This window comes from Homo sapiens, chromosome 12, assembly GCF_000001405.40.
Source record: "Homo sapiens chromosome 12, GRCh38.p14 Primary Assembly".
In the NCBI taxonomy this organism is placed as follows: Eukaryota; Metazoa; Chordata; class Mammalia; order Primates; family Hominidae; genus Homo; species Homo sapiens.
Genome location: NC_000012.12, coordinates 64,658,964 through 64,676,580, shown reverse-complemented (window position 1 = coordinate 64,676,580; position 17,617 = coordinate 64,658,964). Strand labels below are relative to the sequence as shown.

Sequence of the window (17,617 nt, the reverse complement as noted above, 5' to 3'; positions counted from 1 at the left end):
AGAATCACTTGAACCCAGGAGGCAGAGGTTGCAGTGAGCCAAAATTGTGCCACTGCACTCAAGCCTGGGCGACAGAGCAAGATTCCATCAAAAAAAAAAAAAAAAAAAAAAAAGCTGGGCACAGTGGCTCACACCTGTAATCTCAGCACTTTGGGAGGCCAAGGCAGGTGGATCACCTGAGGTCAAGAGTTCAAGACCAGCCTGACCAACATGGAGAAACCCTGTTTCTACTAAAAATACAAAAAATTAGCCCAGTGTGGTGGCACATGCCTGTAGTCCCTCAGACCTGTAAGCTACTCAGGAGGCTGAGGCAGGAGAATCGCTTGAACCCTGGAGGTGGAGGTTACACCACTGCACTCCAGCCTGGGCAACAAGAGCGAAACTCCGTCTCAAAAAAAAAAAAAAAAAAAAAAATTCTACTCCTGAAGGAAAGAATCAGAACAGTTGTTTCTGGGGTGTTTGGTGCTGCTGTTCTTGTCCTTAAAAGTACAGTGTGCTGCTTGCTGCAGTGTTCTCACGGCACCAGTGTTGATAATCTGCCATGGTGCCACATCTAGAGACTCAATGCTTATCTTGGTGTATGGCCCTGGCATGCTGATTCATCCTGGCCACTCTAGGGCTGGGATTTTTTTCCCCCTGCCAGATGAGAGGATTTTTTTTTTTTTAAATGGCAGGATACAGGGTGGGGCTCTATTTCCGTTTATGTGAGGATTCAGGAGTTCATTTTGCCTGAGTTCAGCTTGTAAGCGGGCAACTTTTTTAGTGCAGCCATATAAGATGTTCACTTTGTTCATGCTTTGAACAGCAGGAAAAGGTTAGAGAGGGACTTAACAGCCTCTCCCCATCCCCTAATCCTCCTTGTAGCAATAGATGCATCACTGTTATCTCAGGGTAGGAAAAGTAAGTGGAAAAACAGAGGGCAACTGGAATGAACAAGGGCAAGGCACACAGCTTTGCAGAACAGCGGGGGGCCATGCTTTCCAAAGAGTGTTCCATGGAACACCAATCCTCCAAAATGTGCTGTGGACAGAAAAGGCCCTCCTGTTCTTCCTCCTCCTTCACTCCTCTTAGAGATTCCCAGTGTTCCTTAGAAAGTTAAAGACTCTAAGAAATCCTGCAGTTAAGAAACCAGGCCGGGCACAGTGGCTCATGCCTGTAATCCTAGCACTTTGGGAGGCCGAGATGGGAGGATCACTTGAGCCCAGGAGTTCGAGACCAACCTGGGCAACATTGCGAAACCCCATCTCTATTTAAAATTTAAAAAATTAAAAAATAAACCAGTTAAAGGACATAGCAAGAAAACCTTAAGCGACTTTTAATCTTATGTGATATTCATTAACTATGAGCAAATGAGTACATTATAAAGGAACAAATATTTCTTTTTTCTTATTTTTCATTGAAGTGAGCAGATTCTATTCATTAGAGGATTATTAGCACACGCAATCCCCATCTGTTGAACTTGAAACTTTAACCTCTTTCTTGGTCCTTGAGGTTACTTGTTAAGCAAGAAGCCGGGGTGGCGGGGGGGGGGGGGGCTAGGTGGGTATTTTAGACAACTTCTAACACATAGTCTAAAAAATAAAATGAAGCGGCAACCTTACAAGGCTGGAGTACTATACTAGCCTTCCTTAAACATACTTGTAAGAAAGAAAAACAAGAGAGCAAGAGAGAAAGAGTGCACACAGAAAACCGAAGTGTACCACCCGCTGCTACTATACTCCCCCAACTTTACCTCTCACTACGTACTGCCCTACCCAGTCAGCACAAGCTAAGAGCACCACTTGCACCCCATCCTGCTCCTCACCTGCGTTCAAGGCCCACCCCACCCAGGAAGCCGTCCTAACCACAACAGCCCTCAGTTACCTCCCTGCCCTCAGAACCCCCATGCTACCCTCATCAATTCAGGTTTAGGATCCACAACACCTTCTATGCCTTGTTGTTTCCTGTGCATACTTTTGCTTCCCAAATACACAACAGTGCTTTTACACTTTTGTTTGTTTGAGACAGGGTCTCACTCTGTCGCCCAGGCTGAGGTGCAGTGGGGCCACATCGGCTCACTGCAACCTCCGCCTCCCAGGCTCAAGCGATCCTCCTACCTCGGCCTCCCAAAGTGTTGGGATTACAGGCATAAGCCACTGTGCCTGGCTGCTTTTTTACATCTTTCACTCCCAGAATACTGTGCTGGAACTACCTTAGTGTTGGATATAGAAGAGGGCTCCATTCCTGTTCAGCTGATTCTGATCTGGTCATAGAGCTCACTGCTGCAAGACTGCATTTGCAATCCACCCTCTTTTGTACATCTTATCAATTGGCATGAAGCTTTTTGCTCTCTTCTCAAAACTGAATGAATCTACAGAGGCAAACAAAAGCCCTTTTAATGCCAGATACAAAGTTTGATGTACTTCTGTTATCCATGTGCATCATCAAAGAACAAGAATCCTTCAAAGCATGCCCCCTAAATACTCTCACACACCTGGGGCAGCGAAAGCAGGAACAGGCCCAGCATGTTAATAAGATTAATTGCAGTTGTGATACACATTAAAAGAGCTTCATCTGGGCCTTCCATGACCTCACTTTTTAAACCCCCTGGTTACCAGCCCTCCATACCCTATATGGTTGTACTTTTAAAACTGGGTAGTGTGCCAACAGTCAAACAGCCACTCATTTGTTTGGAGCCAGAAAACAAACTTGGAGGTGGACCAGTCTCCTCTGAGTGCCCCAGCATGAGGTCCCCACCTCAAGGCATACCAGATTACACTCAGAAATCCCAGTCTGATGTGTTCTCAAAGGGAATCAATTAAGATGCCGTTCATTTCTGAAACGTGATATATTTCACAACTGGTTTAATTTTCCTCAAATTCTAGGTGAGCTATGTAAGAAAGGAAAGATTATTAGAGGACTCCGAGCCACGCACATCCAAATCCACTAATCAGCTTTGACAATTAGAAAAGGAATGCGGCTGCATGGGAGTCAGCACTCTTGCTGCAGCCGTCCTCTCGGAGATCTCTGTGGGGTCTGTCTCAACAGAAAAAGCAGTGGATTCTTAGGTTTTCAAAGGCAGGCGTGTCTTCATGGACTCAGTTTTCCCTGATTATTAAAAGAGGCCACTGGACTACGGTCCCTTTCAACAGTAAGTTTTCAAATAGTAATACCATCTACAACACTACCCCAAACAATAAATACAAAGTAAGTTCACTGGATAGTAAGAAAATTGAAAACATTAATAAAGACGATTGCCAAGAAGCCAGGAGGGAAGTGAGACTGACAACATAATTCCGAGTGGTGACACAAGCACCACCCCAAATTCAAGATTATATATAACATCTCACTGTTCAAGGCGTCACCCAGCAGCCATACATCTCCTTCAGCTAACAGCAATCAAAAGCCATAGTCCACTCATTCAGGTTGGCTGGGTTTAAAAAACCAGTTTTTATTAAGGTCAAAGTTTGGAGGTCAAGTCTCAAGACTGCCATATCCTTTATGGAACTTTTGAACCTCAGTGATAAGGACAGTTTCCGGAGAAAGGAAATGAACAGGCTCATTTGGAGGCGAGCCAGACAGGAAGCACGAAGCAATGAATGCTGCAGCAACCGAGGAGGAGGCAGGTGGAGCCCATCTGGGAAACTCAGCCGGCTCCACCAGCAGCAGGAATCTGAACATCAAGGGCAGAGGCTTGCAAACAAATGGAGTAGCCACTCTGCCAGATGAAACCTAATTTGAAGGGAGAACAAAGTCTGAAGAAAATTAGACATTTCTGTAGACCAGGCTAGCCATAGTGGTTCATACCTGTAATCTCAGCACTTTGGAAGGCGGAGGGAGGAGGATCGCTTGAGCCCAGGAGTTCAGGATCAGCTTGGGCAACACAGCAAGAGCCTCCCCACCGTCTGAACAAAAAATAAAAATATTAGCCAGGAGTGGCGGCTGTGCACCTGTGGTTCCAGCTACTTGGGAAGCTGAGGTGGGAGGATTGCCTGAGCCCAGAAGGTAGAGTATACAGTGAGCATGACTCAGCCTGGGCAACAGAGCAAGATCCTATCTCTCAAAAATAAATAATAGGCTGGGTGCGATAGCTCACACCTGTAATCCCAGCACTTTGGGAGGCCGAGGTGGGTGGAACATCTGAGGTTAGGAGTTCAAGATCAGCCTGGCCAACATGGTGAAACCCCATTTCTACTAAAAATACAATAATTAGCTGGGCATGGTGGCACCGGCCTGTAATCCCAGCTACACAGGAGGCTGAGGCAGGAGAATCGCTTGAACTCAGGAGGCGGGGGTTCCAGTGAGCTGAGATTGTGCCACTGCACTCCAGCCCGGGTGACAGAGCAAGACTCCGTCTCAAAATAAATAAATAAATAAGATAACAAAATAAAATAACTAAAAGAATATATATGGATTGTTTGTAATACAAATGATAAATGCTTGGGGTGATATTACTCTGATATGATTATTATATGCCTGTATCAAAAAATCTTATGTACCCCATAAATATATACACCTACGTACCCACAAAAGTTAAAAAATTTTAAATAAATAAAAATAGACAAATGTAAAAGTCTGAAGAGGGCCACAGGGGGTTAAACTATTTTATGTCACTCTTGTTCCCATTAATTCCATCCACTTTCTTGTCCTGTATTCTCCCTTCCGCCCTACAGGCCACTCAAGATGGCTCTTTGATAAGTCTGTTCACAGCCCTTAAAAGGCATGGCTGAAATCCCAAGTGTACAAGTATTCATTCTGCCTCAGGCAATAAATAATGAAGAATGAAGAAAGATACCCCTCTGCTGCCGTCAATTCAGGACGCTGGTACAGGCACGGCATGGGCCCATGGAGAACACCTACACATCCAGCCCTACCTGAGCAGCAATTTCCTTCAGAAGTGCAGCTCTAGGTTTTGGTTTTATCTGAGGAATCACCTTCCTCCTCCTGCCAAGGAAGTAAAAAGTCCTCCGGAGTTATTAAATGATAAGTCAGAGCAATTCAAATAAAAGTTAGGTGATTAGCACCTCAAAGAACCTCACAAAAGCAATTTCTAGAGGTACTCTTTGCTGCAGAAGTCCTCTCCGTCCTCCTGCTTGGTTGCAGATAGGGTGTGAAACACTTACATCATCAAAAGAATGCCAGGAACACAGGCTGGTCAGAGTCAGAAGGCTCAGAGTGAGTAAGGAGTGAACATGCATAGAAGATCACAAGAGGCGAGGCCAGGGAGGCAGATCCCCCTGCAGGGAGAAAGCCGAGGGTCCAGTGCCCCTGGCCCACTTCACTGAACCCTGCTGGGGTGACCCAGGACCAGCCCCGATCAGTCTTCGAGGGTTCACGTACTGCCTGAAACAAATACTTGCAGAGGGAAAAAGAAGGTTTTTCTCAAAAACACCTCCCCTATCCTGCCTCCCTTTCTTTCCTGGTCCCTCATCCAAAACCAGACAGGGCAGGATTAGCCAACCCAAATTCTTGGGATGGGGCAAAGGGAGAGTCCCCAGCACAGAGGTGGCAGCAGCTCCCCTTAGGGAACTGTATCATCACCCATTCCAGACACCATGCCACACCCTTCACAACTTGCCTCTGAATTCTTACAATAACCCTGGAATTGGGTAATACTATCATCCCTATTTTGCATATAGGAAATAGAGGCTTAGGGAGATTTATTTTGCCGGAGGACACAAAGTTAGTGGAGGGGCTAGGTGAGGTTCCTACCCGGGTCTATCCGATTCAAAGCCAATGAAGCCAAGCAAGTGAAAGAAAGGAGGAAAGCTGAGACCCTAACGTTTGCCCACTGCTGGTTTCTGACGACTTAGCCATTTTGATACAGAAGGTCAATATGGATTTTGGAGGGTGGGGTACTAGCACAACTGGCAACTTAGTAGGGAATTAGTAATCTGGCCAGGGCCACTGACAATTTAAAAAGAAGAAAACTACATGTGCAGCACTCCAGAAATGGCGAAACACCTTCATCTCCTAAGGACCATGCAAGTGCTGTTAAGATACCTACAGAAGAGTTTTTTAATGAAAAGATCCCCCCCACAAAAAAAAAAAAAAAAAGAGAGAGAGAGAAACCGTATCCAGTATGACAAATAGTTTCTGCCTGATTGGTGAGATTTGGGATGGGCCCCCACTTTGTTTCTCTTTCTGCATAAAAATTTCAACATTTTTACAAAATTTTCAAAAACTTCTCCTCAGTCTGTACATCTTTGTTAATCAGGAAAAAAAAAAAAACAGTAAAATCTAGGAGGGAAAAAGGCTTTCATGTGTAAAAAATAAAATAACCTTGGAAATAAAAATAAACACAATGCAATTCAGCACTTGGCCAGCATAACTGAACACCACTTTGATGTGCTGCTCCTGGGGCAGCCACCCCCAAATAAATAGCTTTAGACACAAAACAGAGGCACCAACGCCACAAGGCTGTCCGTCCTCCTTAATGCAGGCACCAACTGCACATACAGAGATGACACGTGGAAGCTGCTAGATAGAGCGAACCTGAGCTCCCTCAGGTAAAGATATGCAGTTATTATCTGTAAAATAAAAAAGCTTCTCTATCCATTAAAAAAAAAAAACTGATACTGCCAAGAAGTGCCAGAAGTAAAGGTGGTTTTTAAACATTACTCAATCAGCTGACCAATGTATAAATAAAAGCTACCCTCCATCTGCCCTGGAAAGCAGATTGCCAGCAATTTTTTTTTTTTTTTTTTTTTTGGTAATTTACAGCAATTTACATTTTCTTTGTTGCATAGAAGTGCTGCTTGTATAACCTGAGGGTTCACACACCCTCCAGCTCCTTTTCCTCCTCAGTGGCTTGCACAGGAAGCCCGAGGCTGGGAGGAAAGGGCCTCCCGCTCCACCTTTCCTCAGCACTGCGGTCAGTGGCCCAGCCGGACTCCCAACCCTGGCCGTGGTCTGCTGCTTGCAAAGGGACGGGTCAAGGAGAACAGCAGCCCAGCTACCAAGGCTGGACTGGAAACGTGCTAAAGTACAAGGCTGATGTGAAGCAGAGAAAAGAAAAAGAGAAACTGAATTTAACATAATGAACGCCTTAGCATTACAAGTCTAGGACTTCACAGCTGTACTTCACTCAAAACTAAAGACCTAGGCAGGAAACAAGTGGCAGACACTGTAAAAGAAGAGTCAACACAGTCTTAAACACAGGATATGCCCTGCCTAGAGCCACATCCTTATCTCCACGTGTGACAGGGGGAACTGTTTCATCCAGAACATCTGAGGAAAAAACGAAGCCAAGAAGGACTACATCAAATTTCACACATTCTGGGACAATCCCTTACACAATAATGTGAAGGTTTCACCTTTTTCACCCTTTCATCTAAGTCACCAATTTCCTCCCCTAGGAACTTGTTCATATAGAGTCCTCTAATGTGCCTAACAAAACAGAAACTCAAACAAGCACCTAAAGAATGTCCCAGAGAAGAAATGAGAATGTTTAGAATGGAAAGCCATTTGCTCCTCGAGGTTAAACAGGACACATAGTTCAACGCCCTACTTCAAAATCAATCCCAGGTGTAACCCAAGTTTTTCTAGGGTTTGTGTAATATATGAAAGTCTTTCAATTTAGGACTTGACTTCCTTAGGAACAATTTTTTTTCCTCCTAAAAAATCAAAATTGGGCTGGGTGCGGTAGCTCACACCTGTAATCCCAGCACTTTGGGAGGCCGAGGCGGGCAGATCACGAGGTCAGGAGATCGAGACCACGGTGAAACCCCATCTCTACTAAAAATACAAAAAATTAGCTGGGTGCGGTGGCAGGCGCCTGTAGTCCCAGCTACTCACAACGCTGAGGCAGGAGAATGGCGTGAACCCGGAAGGCAGAGCTTGCAGTGAGCCGAGATCGCGCCACTGCACTCCAGCCTGGGCGACAGAGTGAGACTCCGTTTCAAAAAAAAAAAAAAAAAAATCAAAATTAAAACAGTCAACATCCAAGTCCCACCCTGCTGAAAGCTAAACTCCAATCACCATGTTTTCTGAGGTGCCAAGCCAGGGTGATTAAAAGAAAGAACAACGAGGCTGGACATGGTGGCTCACACCTGTAATCCCAGCATTTTCGAAGCCTAAGTCAGGCAGATCGCTTTGAGCTCAGGAGTTTGAGACCAGCCTAGGCAACATGGTGAAAACCCATCTCTACAAAAAATACAAAAACTAGCCAGGTGTGATGGCACGTGCCTATAGCTACTTGGAGGCTAAGGCTGGAGAATTGATTGAGCCTGTGAAGTGGAAGCTACAGTGAACGGAGATTGTGCCACATTCCACCTCAGCCTGGGCAAGACAGTGAGACCCTGTTTCAATTGAAGAGAAAAAAAAAAAAAGAAGAAGAAGAAGAAAAGGATTGGTAAGGTTTGATAGAGGAAAGTGCCCCAGGCTGGCTGAGTGATATTTACATTGCTGATTCTGAGTGCAAAGCACTGGTTCAGGTCATTCAACAGTTACACCTTAGGTAACCCTCCCAGGAATCCCGAGGGTAGAAATTTTAACCCCATGGTATAGATGCAGAAATGAAAGCTAAGAGCACAGAAGCAGAATGTGGTGAACACAAGGCCTGGCCAACCCCATAACCATGCCCTTTCTACTCAGACCAAAGGCCTCTAGAGCCCAGGAGAAAAACCTGTTGCCAGCTATCTGCGTGACCTTGGGAAAGTACATCTTTCCAGGTGTTACTTTCTTACCTCTTAATTCAGAAGGAAAACAGGCTCAGTGAATCTGGAAGAAGGGAGTGAGCATGCATGCATAGCCAGTCCTGCCCTCTGTCCTCTTTTGAGGGCAACATTCTGCTGCACAGCTCTGGAGATGAGCCTCAGGAAGGCCACTTGCCCGCAGAGATAAGCCATGTTCTGCATAGCAGCTCTAACCCTGATCAGCATAAAGGTAAATTTTGGTCTCCAACAATTGAAGACTGGCTGAATTGAAGACCACCTTACTCCTGTCTTTCTTCTCAGCTGATTCCAGGACACAGGCAGGGAAAGAGGATGAAATTTGGTCCTCTTTGAACACTTGTAAAATGGGAAAATTTCTAAGACAGAACTTCTGTTCATTTAGAATAGGAGCTACGACCATCTTTCCCGCAAGGGACTTGTAATAGAAAGAAAATAGGCCGGGCGCAGTGGCTCACACCTGTAATCCCAGTACTTTGGGAGGCTGAGGCGGGAGAATCGCTTGAACCTGGGAGGCAGAGGCTACAGTAAGCCGAGATGGCGCCACTGCACTCCAGCCTGGGTGACAGAGCGAGACTCTGTCTCAAAAAGAAAGAAAGAAAGAAAATACACACACACATTCCAAGTAACCAAAACACTATTCCAGAAATTAATAAATGGAAACTGTTAACTAGGTACACTTACTTTCACAAAATAAATGTGTTCCCCTTGCAGCAAAGAAACCATATTTTTGAAAGTACAGATATTGTTTTAAAAACAAAAACACACCTTAGAAATTCCCAATGCAGAGGAAAACTCTGGTAACGGCTGGTAACCTTCTCCACACCCCCCCATTTCTTGCAGACCTGCCCCCAGCCCAGCTGAGCCTCCGTATCTGGCTCCCCTACCCATTAACGGGCTTCTACCACACCCTGCACCGGTCAACACTCCTGAGCCACTGTGGATCTCAATTACTTTTGCTCCCACTTTCTTGCTTTTCTGTCCCCACTTCTCAATTTTCATGGGAAAAGACAAATCTCTTTGCAGACACTGCCAACAAAAAATATTTTCCTTTCTTTCTGCTTAGTAAATGAACCAATTTTGGCATTCAATAAATATTTGTTCAGCACCTAAATACTGTGCAAATAGTTGTGTCAGGCACTGGAATACAACAGTGAACAGAGCACAGGTTCTGCCCTTCAAGGCCTAGGTGGGACATGTGGGACAGTGGCGGGATAAGGAAGGGAGCACTGCCAAGGAAACACCTTGGGAAGGTTCCCTGTAGGAGGAAGTATCTAAGCTGGAAACTGCTTTGTAAAGTATTCTGTTAGAAAGTAAAGCCATTCCTGGCTTTACCTTTTAACACCCATCAAACGTGTTATCCAGAAAGATAACAAAGTACACCAGAATAAGAAGTCACCTAATGGAAGGCTTTGGAAAACCAGAGTACACTGCTCAAATCTGCTCAAATCTGCTAATTTTAGACAAACAGAAAATACTTCAGTGAGCACGCTACCAAAGGGTATTTTTAGAGTCTGTTTCAGTTAACCACTCTGAACTCCTCAGTAGGTCAAACAAAAAAAAAGCAAAAGAAAGAAAACTATTTCAAATCTATAGCAAGTAGAAAATTATCTTCCTTCTTCATGCCTAATTTCTTTCATCCTACATAGAAAATAAACAATCAGCATTCCATAGCTAATTCCATTCTACACCTAACCACCTTATTTACTTAGTACTTGGGGAAGAAAGTTGACTACAGCTGTTACTTCTCATTGCTTATCTTGAGAAAACACTGAACAATGTAAAACACATATGAGCAATAGGCAATAAATTAAGCACAAAAAAGCATGGCTCCATAAAAAAGTGATCATTTAACATAACTTTTTCCTTTCATTACTTTCTAAATCTCAGTCTCACTAAGCCTCAGTTTCTTGTCAGCAAAAAGAACATAAAAATACCTGCCCTTTGAGGGCCCTTGTTCAGAGTAACTGAGAACACATAGAACACTTCACTATATCTGGCTGGCTACCATCATCATTACTATTACTACTGCTATTGATGAAGGGCAGGCAAGCTCCCAAACTGGGGCTCAGCCCAGGAAGATTCTCAACTGCACTTAGGAAAGAGCTGAAGAGCGACCCTGCGGTAGAAGGAAACTGCTTTACTGACGTGGCAGTGTTAAGCTCTGTGACTGCTCCATAACAGCAGCTCAAGGGCAGTTCTGCAGTCATATTTATGCCCATTTTTAATTACATGCAAATTAAGAGGGCAGGTTAATCAGAAACCTCTAGAAAAAGGGTGGTAACTTCCAGGTTGTTGCCATGGAAAGGGGTGGTAATTTCCAGGTGTTACCATGGCAATGGTAAACTGACATGGCACTGGTGGGCGTGTCTTATGGAGAGGTGCTTTCACCTCTTCCCTGTTTCAGCCAGTCTTCAATCTGGTCTGGAGTCAAGTTCCACCTCCTACCTCACTAATAGTATTTATTATCAAACTTGGTGTTTAATAATAAGTTAAAAATCTAACAGTAAAAATTAATGTGTATCAATTAAGCAATCTGACTGGAGACTTTCAAAATCAATATTAAAAGTGAATAAACTCTGACTGGTGCCAAGTCAATCATTTAATTTTAGCATCTACATTATGCTAGACACACATACTAATCCACTTTGTCACATGAGCCTTGCAAAATAATAATTATTTCACAAAAGAGAAAATGGAAATGGAGGGACTAATCTGCCCACATTTTAAACAATTGGTTGCGAGAGGCACTGAGATTCTAACCCAGATCCATGCAACTCCTAGAACCTTCCACTGCGCTGTCTTTCTGATTTTAGACAATGATTTAGCCCACAAAATACTATGACCAACAGAGGACTTCATACCTTTTCATCCTGAACTCTGACTTTTTAGAGGTGGAAGGGTACAATTCTAATATTTTTCAACAGAGACCTATTATTTAAATGACTTAGTAAGCACTATTAAACTGAGGTACGAATACTATATAGAGAACTGAAATAATTAGTAATAGCCTTCAATAGTTTTAGAAGTATAATTTTTAATACCAATAATAGGATCCATATTCCTTAAACTAAAAAGCAAGGCTAGCAGCCAAAGATCAATGCTTGTACTGAGGCAACCAGAGATGACCCCCCAAAATCAGAGCTGTCTTCTATAACTATTGAGTAATTTTGTGATTTGGCTTCATTTTTGTTTTTTGGAAAGTGCCGGTGCTTGGTCTTATACATTTGAATTTAATTTTTTAAACAAAAAAAGCCAGGTGGTGGGGGAAGGGGAGATTGGGAAAGAATTTCCCTTTTTACTTTGTGAGCCCTGAAACTGATTTTATTTTTCATAACTGAGAGATTGCTTCTGTAGTACACAATAACATGATGTTGAAACAAGTACTTAAGGAGAACTGGTTGACTTAAAACATATACCAGGGCCAGGCGTGGTGGCTCACGCCTGTAATCCCAGCACTTAGGGAGGCCGAGATGGGTGGCCTATGCAGGTGTAAACTGCACAGAATAAGCTTGCATCCCTGATATGTATATTTTTCCCAAACTCAAATTTTGTCACTAACCTAGAAGTATTTATGGTAAGCTTTCTTAAAAATTATTAGGGTAAATACTTCTGAAATGCAGCATTTTTTTAAGCTTTGTTATTTCTATTATGATTTTTCATGGTGAAATTTTGGTACTGAGATGGGCATTCTCTATTCTCTGTACCTTCATAGTACCACTCCAAAGGCAAAGAACCATGATTGACAACAGTCAAGTTGTGGATGAAATGACCAGGAACGGAGAATGAAGTATGTAAATCCCAGCTTCACAGGAACTCTTCTCATATTGCTTTTCTGACTAAAGTTGCTGTTTACCAGGTCTCTGAATGTTAATGCCTGACTAATTAAGTCATTGCCCAAATCAGTTTTCCCTTTGCCCCATCAATATGTTCTCTTGTATATATTGGCGTGCTGCCATAGAAAGTAAAAATTTGGAGATATTCTATATTTTATATATAGGTTTATGTATTGTTGGGATGTTTTTGTTGTGCTCTTTTGGACATAATAAAGAATTCTCTGTTGAGGCAAAAAAAAAAAAAAAAAAAAAAGGCAAGGCTAAAACGTGGTAAAGAAATTGCAGGATGGCCGGGGGTGGTGGCTCACACCTGTAATCCCAGCACTTTGAGAGGCCGAGGTGGGCAGATCACCTGAGGTCAGGAGTTCAAGGCCAGCCTGGCTAACATGGTGAAACCCCATCTCTAGTAAAAATACAAAAATTAGCCGGGCATGGTGGCATGTGCCTGTAGTCCCAGCTACTCGGGAGGTTGAGGTGGGAGGATCACTGGAACCTGGGAAGCGGAGATTACACCACTGCACTCCAGCCTGGGTGACAGAGCAAGACTTCATCTCAAAAAAAAAAAAATAACAATAACAATTGCAGGTGTAAACTGCATAGAATAAGCTTGCATCCCTGATATGTATATTTTTCCCAAACTCAAATTTTGTCACTAACCTAGATATGGTCAGAGTTTCGGAAATCATTATATTCTTTTTTTGTCTTCCCCATCAATTAGCATGCACCACACCTTTACTAGATTTCTTACCCTTTTCCCCCTTATCTAAGTACATTTTAAGGAATCTGACCATGCTTTGAGAATGTGTTTCTTCCTTTTGCCTACTGATCCACTAGACAGTAACACAAGAAGGCCTTTGTTACGTAACACATCCGAGGTTCCCGCCTTAAAATGTATTCCTCCAAAATGGCCTAAGGGAATGAAAGGGTGAGGGGTAGAGAGAGATCAACATTATGTGCATGCTCCAAATTTGGCACTTACATAATTATTAATACATAATTACTGCTTCTAACACTGAACATTTTTTCCAAGAACGTGGCCCTTCTAGTTTCTATTTAAAGGTCTGCGTTTTATAACAAAAGGCACAGTACATTATATATGTTAATAGCTAAAATTTATTGAGTGCTTAGCACTATTCTAAGCACTCTTCATGTATATCCAAAGACATCTCCCCCTGAGCCCCTTAAAACACACACACTATTTCCCCTTCAAACCCTAAGCCTTGCTGCTGGAGCCCTCATTCCCAGCCAGGCAAGATCCAGAATCCACCTTCTTCCACAGACACCATGCCCCAGAAACAACCAGGGAGTCCCATTTCAACACGGGATGGGGTCTGGACCCCAGCAGGAGCTTAAAGACACATTTCACACGGAAACAAGATGCAGCTACAATCACTCATTATTCCCAATATTCCTTCTCAACACACATATACACACGCAGAGACCATGGAAGCTTTATTTACTTCTTGCAACTGACCACTAATCTAACATATATCTAGGCATTTATCTTGTTTTTGTTTCTTTGTTTGAGACAGGGTCTCAATCTGTCACCCAGGCTGGAGTGCAGTGGTACAATCACAGCTCACAGCAGCCTCAACCTCTTTTATTTACTTCTTGCAACTGACCACTAATCTAACAGATATCTAGGCATTTATCTTGTTTTTGTTTCTTTGTTTGAGACAGGGTCTCAATCTGTCACCCAGGCTGGAGTGCAGTGGTACAATCACAGCTCACAGCAGCCTCAACCTCTTAGGCTCAAATGATCCTCCCACCTTAGCCTCCTGAGTAGCTGGGACTACAGGCAAGCGCCACCAGGCCTGGCTAATTTTTTTTTTTTTTTTGTAGATACGGGGTTTCACCATGTTGACCAGGCTGGTCTCAAATTCCTAGACTCAAGAAATCCACCTGCCTCTGCCTCCCAAAGTGCCAGGATTACAGGTGTTAGCCACCACACCCAGCATTTATCTTATTACCTACTTCCCCAACAAGAATCTGAGCTCCACAAAGGCAGGGATTTTTTTTTCTCTCTCTCTCCATTTTTGTCTCCAGCATCTAGAGCAAGGCTTGGCACACAGCTGGTGCTTAATACACTTTTTTTTTTTTTTTAAGAGATGGGGGCTGGGCATAGTGGCTCATGCCTGTAATTCCAGTACTTTGGGAGGCCGAGGTGGGCAGATCACCTTAAGTCAAGAGTTCGAGAACCGCCTGGCCAACAGGGTGAAGCCCTATCTCTACTAAAAATATAAAAATTAGCCAGGCGTGGTGGTGGCACCTGTAATCCCAGCAACTCAGGAGGCTGAGGCAGGAAAATTGTTTGAACCCAGGAGGTGGAGGCTGCAGTAGGCCAAGATCAAGCCACTGCACTCCAGCCTGAGCAACACATGAGACCCTGTCTCAAAAAAAAAAAAAAAAAAAAAAAGAAAAAGAAAAAGAGAGATGGGGTCTTGTTATGTTACCCAGGCTGCACTTAAACACCTGGGTTCAAATGATCCTCCCATCTCAGCCTCCCAAGCAGCTAGCTAGGACTTCAATATACATTTTTGAATGAAAGGAACAAACAGGGTTGTGTGAGCATCACATTCATGGAAAGAACCCCCTGCGCCCCTTTTTTTTAGAGACAGGGTCTCACTTTGTCGCCCAAGCTGGAGTGCAGTGGCAATCACAGCTTACAGCTGCCTCAAATTCCTGGGCTCAAGTGATCCTCCCATCTCAGCCTCCTGAATAGCTAGGACTACAGGCGCCACACTGTGCCCAGCTAGTTTTTTAATTTTTTGTAGAGACAGCCTGGTCTCAAACTTTTGGGCTCAAGTGATCCTCCCGCCTTGGCCTCCCAAAGTGCTGGGATTACAGGCATCAGCCACCATGCCCAGCCCAAGAACCTGCTATGTACCAGGTAAATCAGATCATTGTATCTAAGCATTGTTATTACCACTTACATACGAGCAAGCCGAGTTTAACTTACTCACGGCTACGGCTACCATTTGAGTGAGGCCAGGATCTGAACCCAATGCCTCCAGCACTAGGGCTCTTTCCTTCCACAAAACACCTTCTGACATGTCAAGCCTCAACTTGGAAACAAACCCTGAGAGCACACGTTCACAAGAAAGGGGTGTTCTATTATATTAACATGAACCACTGAGCTCAAGTCTCACAGATTCGGAGGAAAGCTCGTGTGCTCCAGTGGGAAGATGGGAAGTTGATGGGGAGAGAGGGCCATGTGACTCCCCGCCAAATCCTCCAAATTCAAGGGATCACAAGAGGAGGCAGGAAAGGACTACTAAGCACGAGACAAGTCAGCAGAACAAAGCTTGCTTCTGACTCAAAGCAAAACCAACAGTCATCCTGAAAGAAATTTTTTTTCAAAAGCTCCTCCATTTTTTCCAATTTCCAAGTCTTCTGCATTGAGTATACATTATTTTAGCCACTGGGAAAAAATACGTTAAAAAGAAATGTCCCTGCTTTTACAGAGAAAAAGCAAATGATAGTCACTACCTTTTTTTAAAGAAAGATTTTGTGACCTTCTCCTTAAAGGCCAAGAAATTAGAATTATGTCAAAGTATTAATCTTCCTTATGAAACACAAAGTTGTATTTGTCCCTCATAGCACCAAGCCAGGTGCAAGCAGCAGCTTTCTCATAAATACTGGGCAATACAGACTTCTCAGTGTACACACCCTTACATACAATGAGACAGCTCTTTAAAGGTGCCTTTAGAGTGCCTAGTATAGTGGCTCCTGAATGTAAATGGTTAATGATGATGGAATTGTGAGAAAGTAAAAAGAAATACCACTTTCAGTACCATTATTATCTACTTTTTCTCTTCTTGAAAAAACAAAGAATTTGTTTCCAGCAACATTAGGTTAATAATTATTAGCATTTCAGGATGGGCACAGTAGCTCACACTTGTAATCCTAGCACTTTTTGAGGCAGAGGCGGGCGGATCACTTGAGCCCATGAGTTTGAGATCAGCCTGGGCAACATAGTGCGTGCCATATGTGTGCGTGTATGTGTATATATATATACATACACACACACATATATATATACATACACACACATATATATACACATACACACACACACATATATATACACGCACACATATACACATACATACACACACACACACACACACACACACACACACGTATTAGATGAAGTCTCGCTTTGTCACCCAGGCTGGAGTGTAGTGGCGCCATCTCAGCTCACTGCAACCTCCGCTTCCCAGGTTCGAGTGATTCTCCTGCCTCAGCCTCCCGACTAGCTGGGATTACAGGCATGCACCACCACATCCAGCTAATTTTTGTATTATTAGTAGAGATGGGGTTTCACCATGTTGGCCAGGATGGTCTCAAACTCCTGATCTCAAGAGATCTGCCCACCTCAGCCTCCCAAAGTGCTGGGATTACAGGCATGAGCCACCATGCCCAGCAATATTATTATTATTAGCATTTGATTTTTCTACATTTCCTTTCAAATTATGCTATATTCTATTAATAGACTGTTGCAAACCTCTCCCTCCCCTCCCTCAGCAATAGGAAAACAAAGACTCTGATTTATTGTAAAATTCACAGACAACCCTTGAACCAAAATAAAGCAGTCCACAAAAATGGACCCCTCTGTATCCTAAAGCCAACTTTTTGGAGTATGCTCAGACCGCCTCGGAATTCACCACCAGGGCTAGGAACCCTGTTCTTCCATGTTTGTCGGTTTGCTCTGACCTTGTCATTAGTAAGAGAATGAGGACAGTACAGGTTCCATTTAGGAGAAGAATAATCTTATCAGGAAATTACTTTATATCTCAAACTGTGCTAAAAATATCACATCCTTATCCCCACACTTCACCTCTGACTCCACCTCTCTCTCACCTCCTCCCACCAAGTAAAGAATTTATTTAACAGATGAAGGCTGCCTCTGAGAATGATCTGTCTAAAAACACAGGCAGGACCATGGAATGTGTATGTTTGAAACTAGAGTCTCTGGGCTCTTGGTCACTGACCCACTGGACTTTAACATGTCTCTTCCACAATTTGTTCTTTTTTCTGTTGCTCAGGCTGGAGTGCAGTGGCACAATCATGGTTCACTGCAGCCTTAATAAACTCTTGGGCTCAAGATATCCTCCTGCCTCTGCTTCC

General features: G+C 43.5%; 1 protein-coding gene across 6 annotated transcripts in view, besides 5 other annotated features; it reads right to left on the bottom strand.

Annotated features, from left to right (window-relative positions):
* Nucleotides 1-17,617, bottom strand: part of RASSF3 (Ras association domain family member 3) — a 190,601-nt gene that overhangs the window by 20,984 nt on the left and 152,000 nt on the right. The window contains exon 1 of one of the 6 annotated variants that reach the window (XM_017019182.2): nt 2,192-12,717. The exons of the other annotated variants lie outside the window; for them this stretch is intronic. Within the exon in view, the coding sequence (XP_016874671.1) occupies nt 2,192-2,221 (30 nt within the window). The 5' untranslated portion in view covers nt 2,222-12,717. Of the gene's footprint in view, nt 1-2,191; nt 12,718-17,617 lie in introns of those variants that run through there. 6 annotated transcript variants of the gene reach the window in all.
* Nucleotides 1,486-2,265: an enhancer, noted in NCBI's record as "H3K27ac-H3K4me1 hESC enhancer chr12:65068096-65068875 (GRCh37/hg19 assembly coordinates)". NCBI's record gives its function as "activates a minimal SCP1, AML or CMV promoter by ChIP-STARR-seq in primed H9 embryonic stem cells {active_cell/tissue: H9 hESC(primed)}" and the evidence as "EXISTENCE:reporter gene assay evidence [ECO:0000049][PMID:30033119]".
* Nucleotides 1,759-1,838: a silencer, noted in NCBI's record as "silent region_4625". NCBI's record gives its function as "represses an Ori minimal core promoter by ATAC-STARR-seq in GM12878 lymphoblastoid cells {active_cell/tissue: GM12878}" and the evidence as "EXISTENCE:reporter gene assay evidence [ECO:0000049][PMID:35858748]".
* Nucleotides 3,909-4,098: a silencer, noted in NCBI's record as "fragment chr12:65066263-65066452 (GRCh37/hg19 assembly coordinates)". NCBI's record gives its function as "represses an EF-1alpha promoter that drives an FKBP-Casp9 reporter gene in an ReSE screen in HepG2 liver carcinoma cells {active_cell/tissue: HepG2}" and the evidence as "EXISTENCE:reporter gene assay evidence [ECO:0000049][PMID:32094911]".
* Nucleotides 6,831-6,890: an enhancer, noted in NCBI's record as "active region_6600". NCBI's record gives its function as "activates an Ori minimal core promoter by ATAC-STARR-seq in GM12878 lymphoblastoid cells {active_cell/tissue: GM12878}" and the evidence as "EXISTENCE:reporter gene assay evidence [ECO:0000049][PMID:35858748]".
* Nucleotides 7,111-7,270: an enhancer, noted in NCBI's record as "active region_6599". NCBI's record gives its function as "activates an Ori minimal core promoter by ATAC-STARR-seq in GM12878 lymphoblastoid cells {active_cell/tissue: GM12878}" and the evidence as "EXISTENCE:reporter gene assay evidence [ECO:0000049][PMID:35858748]".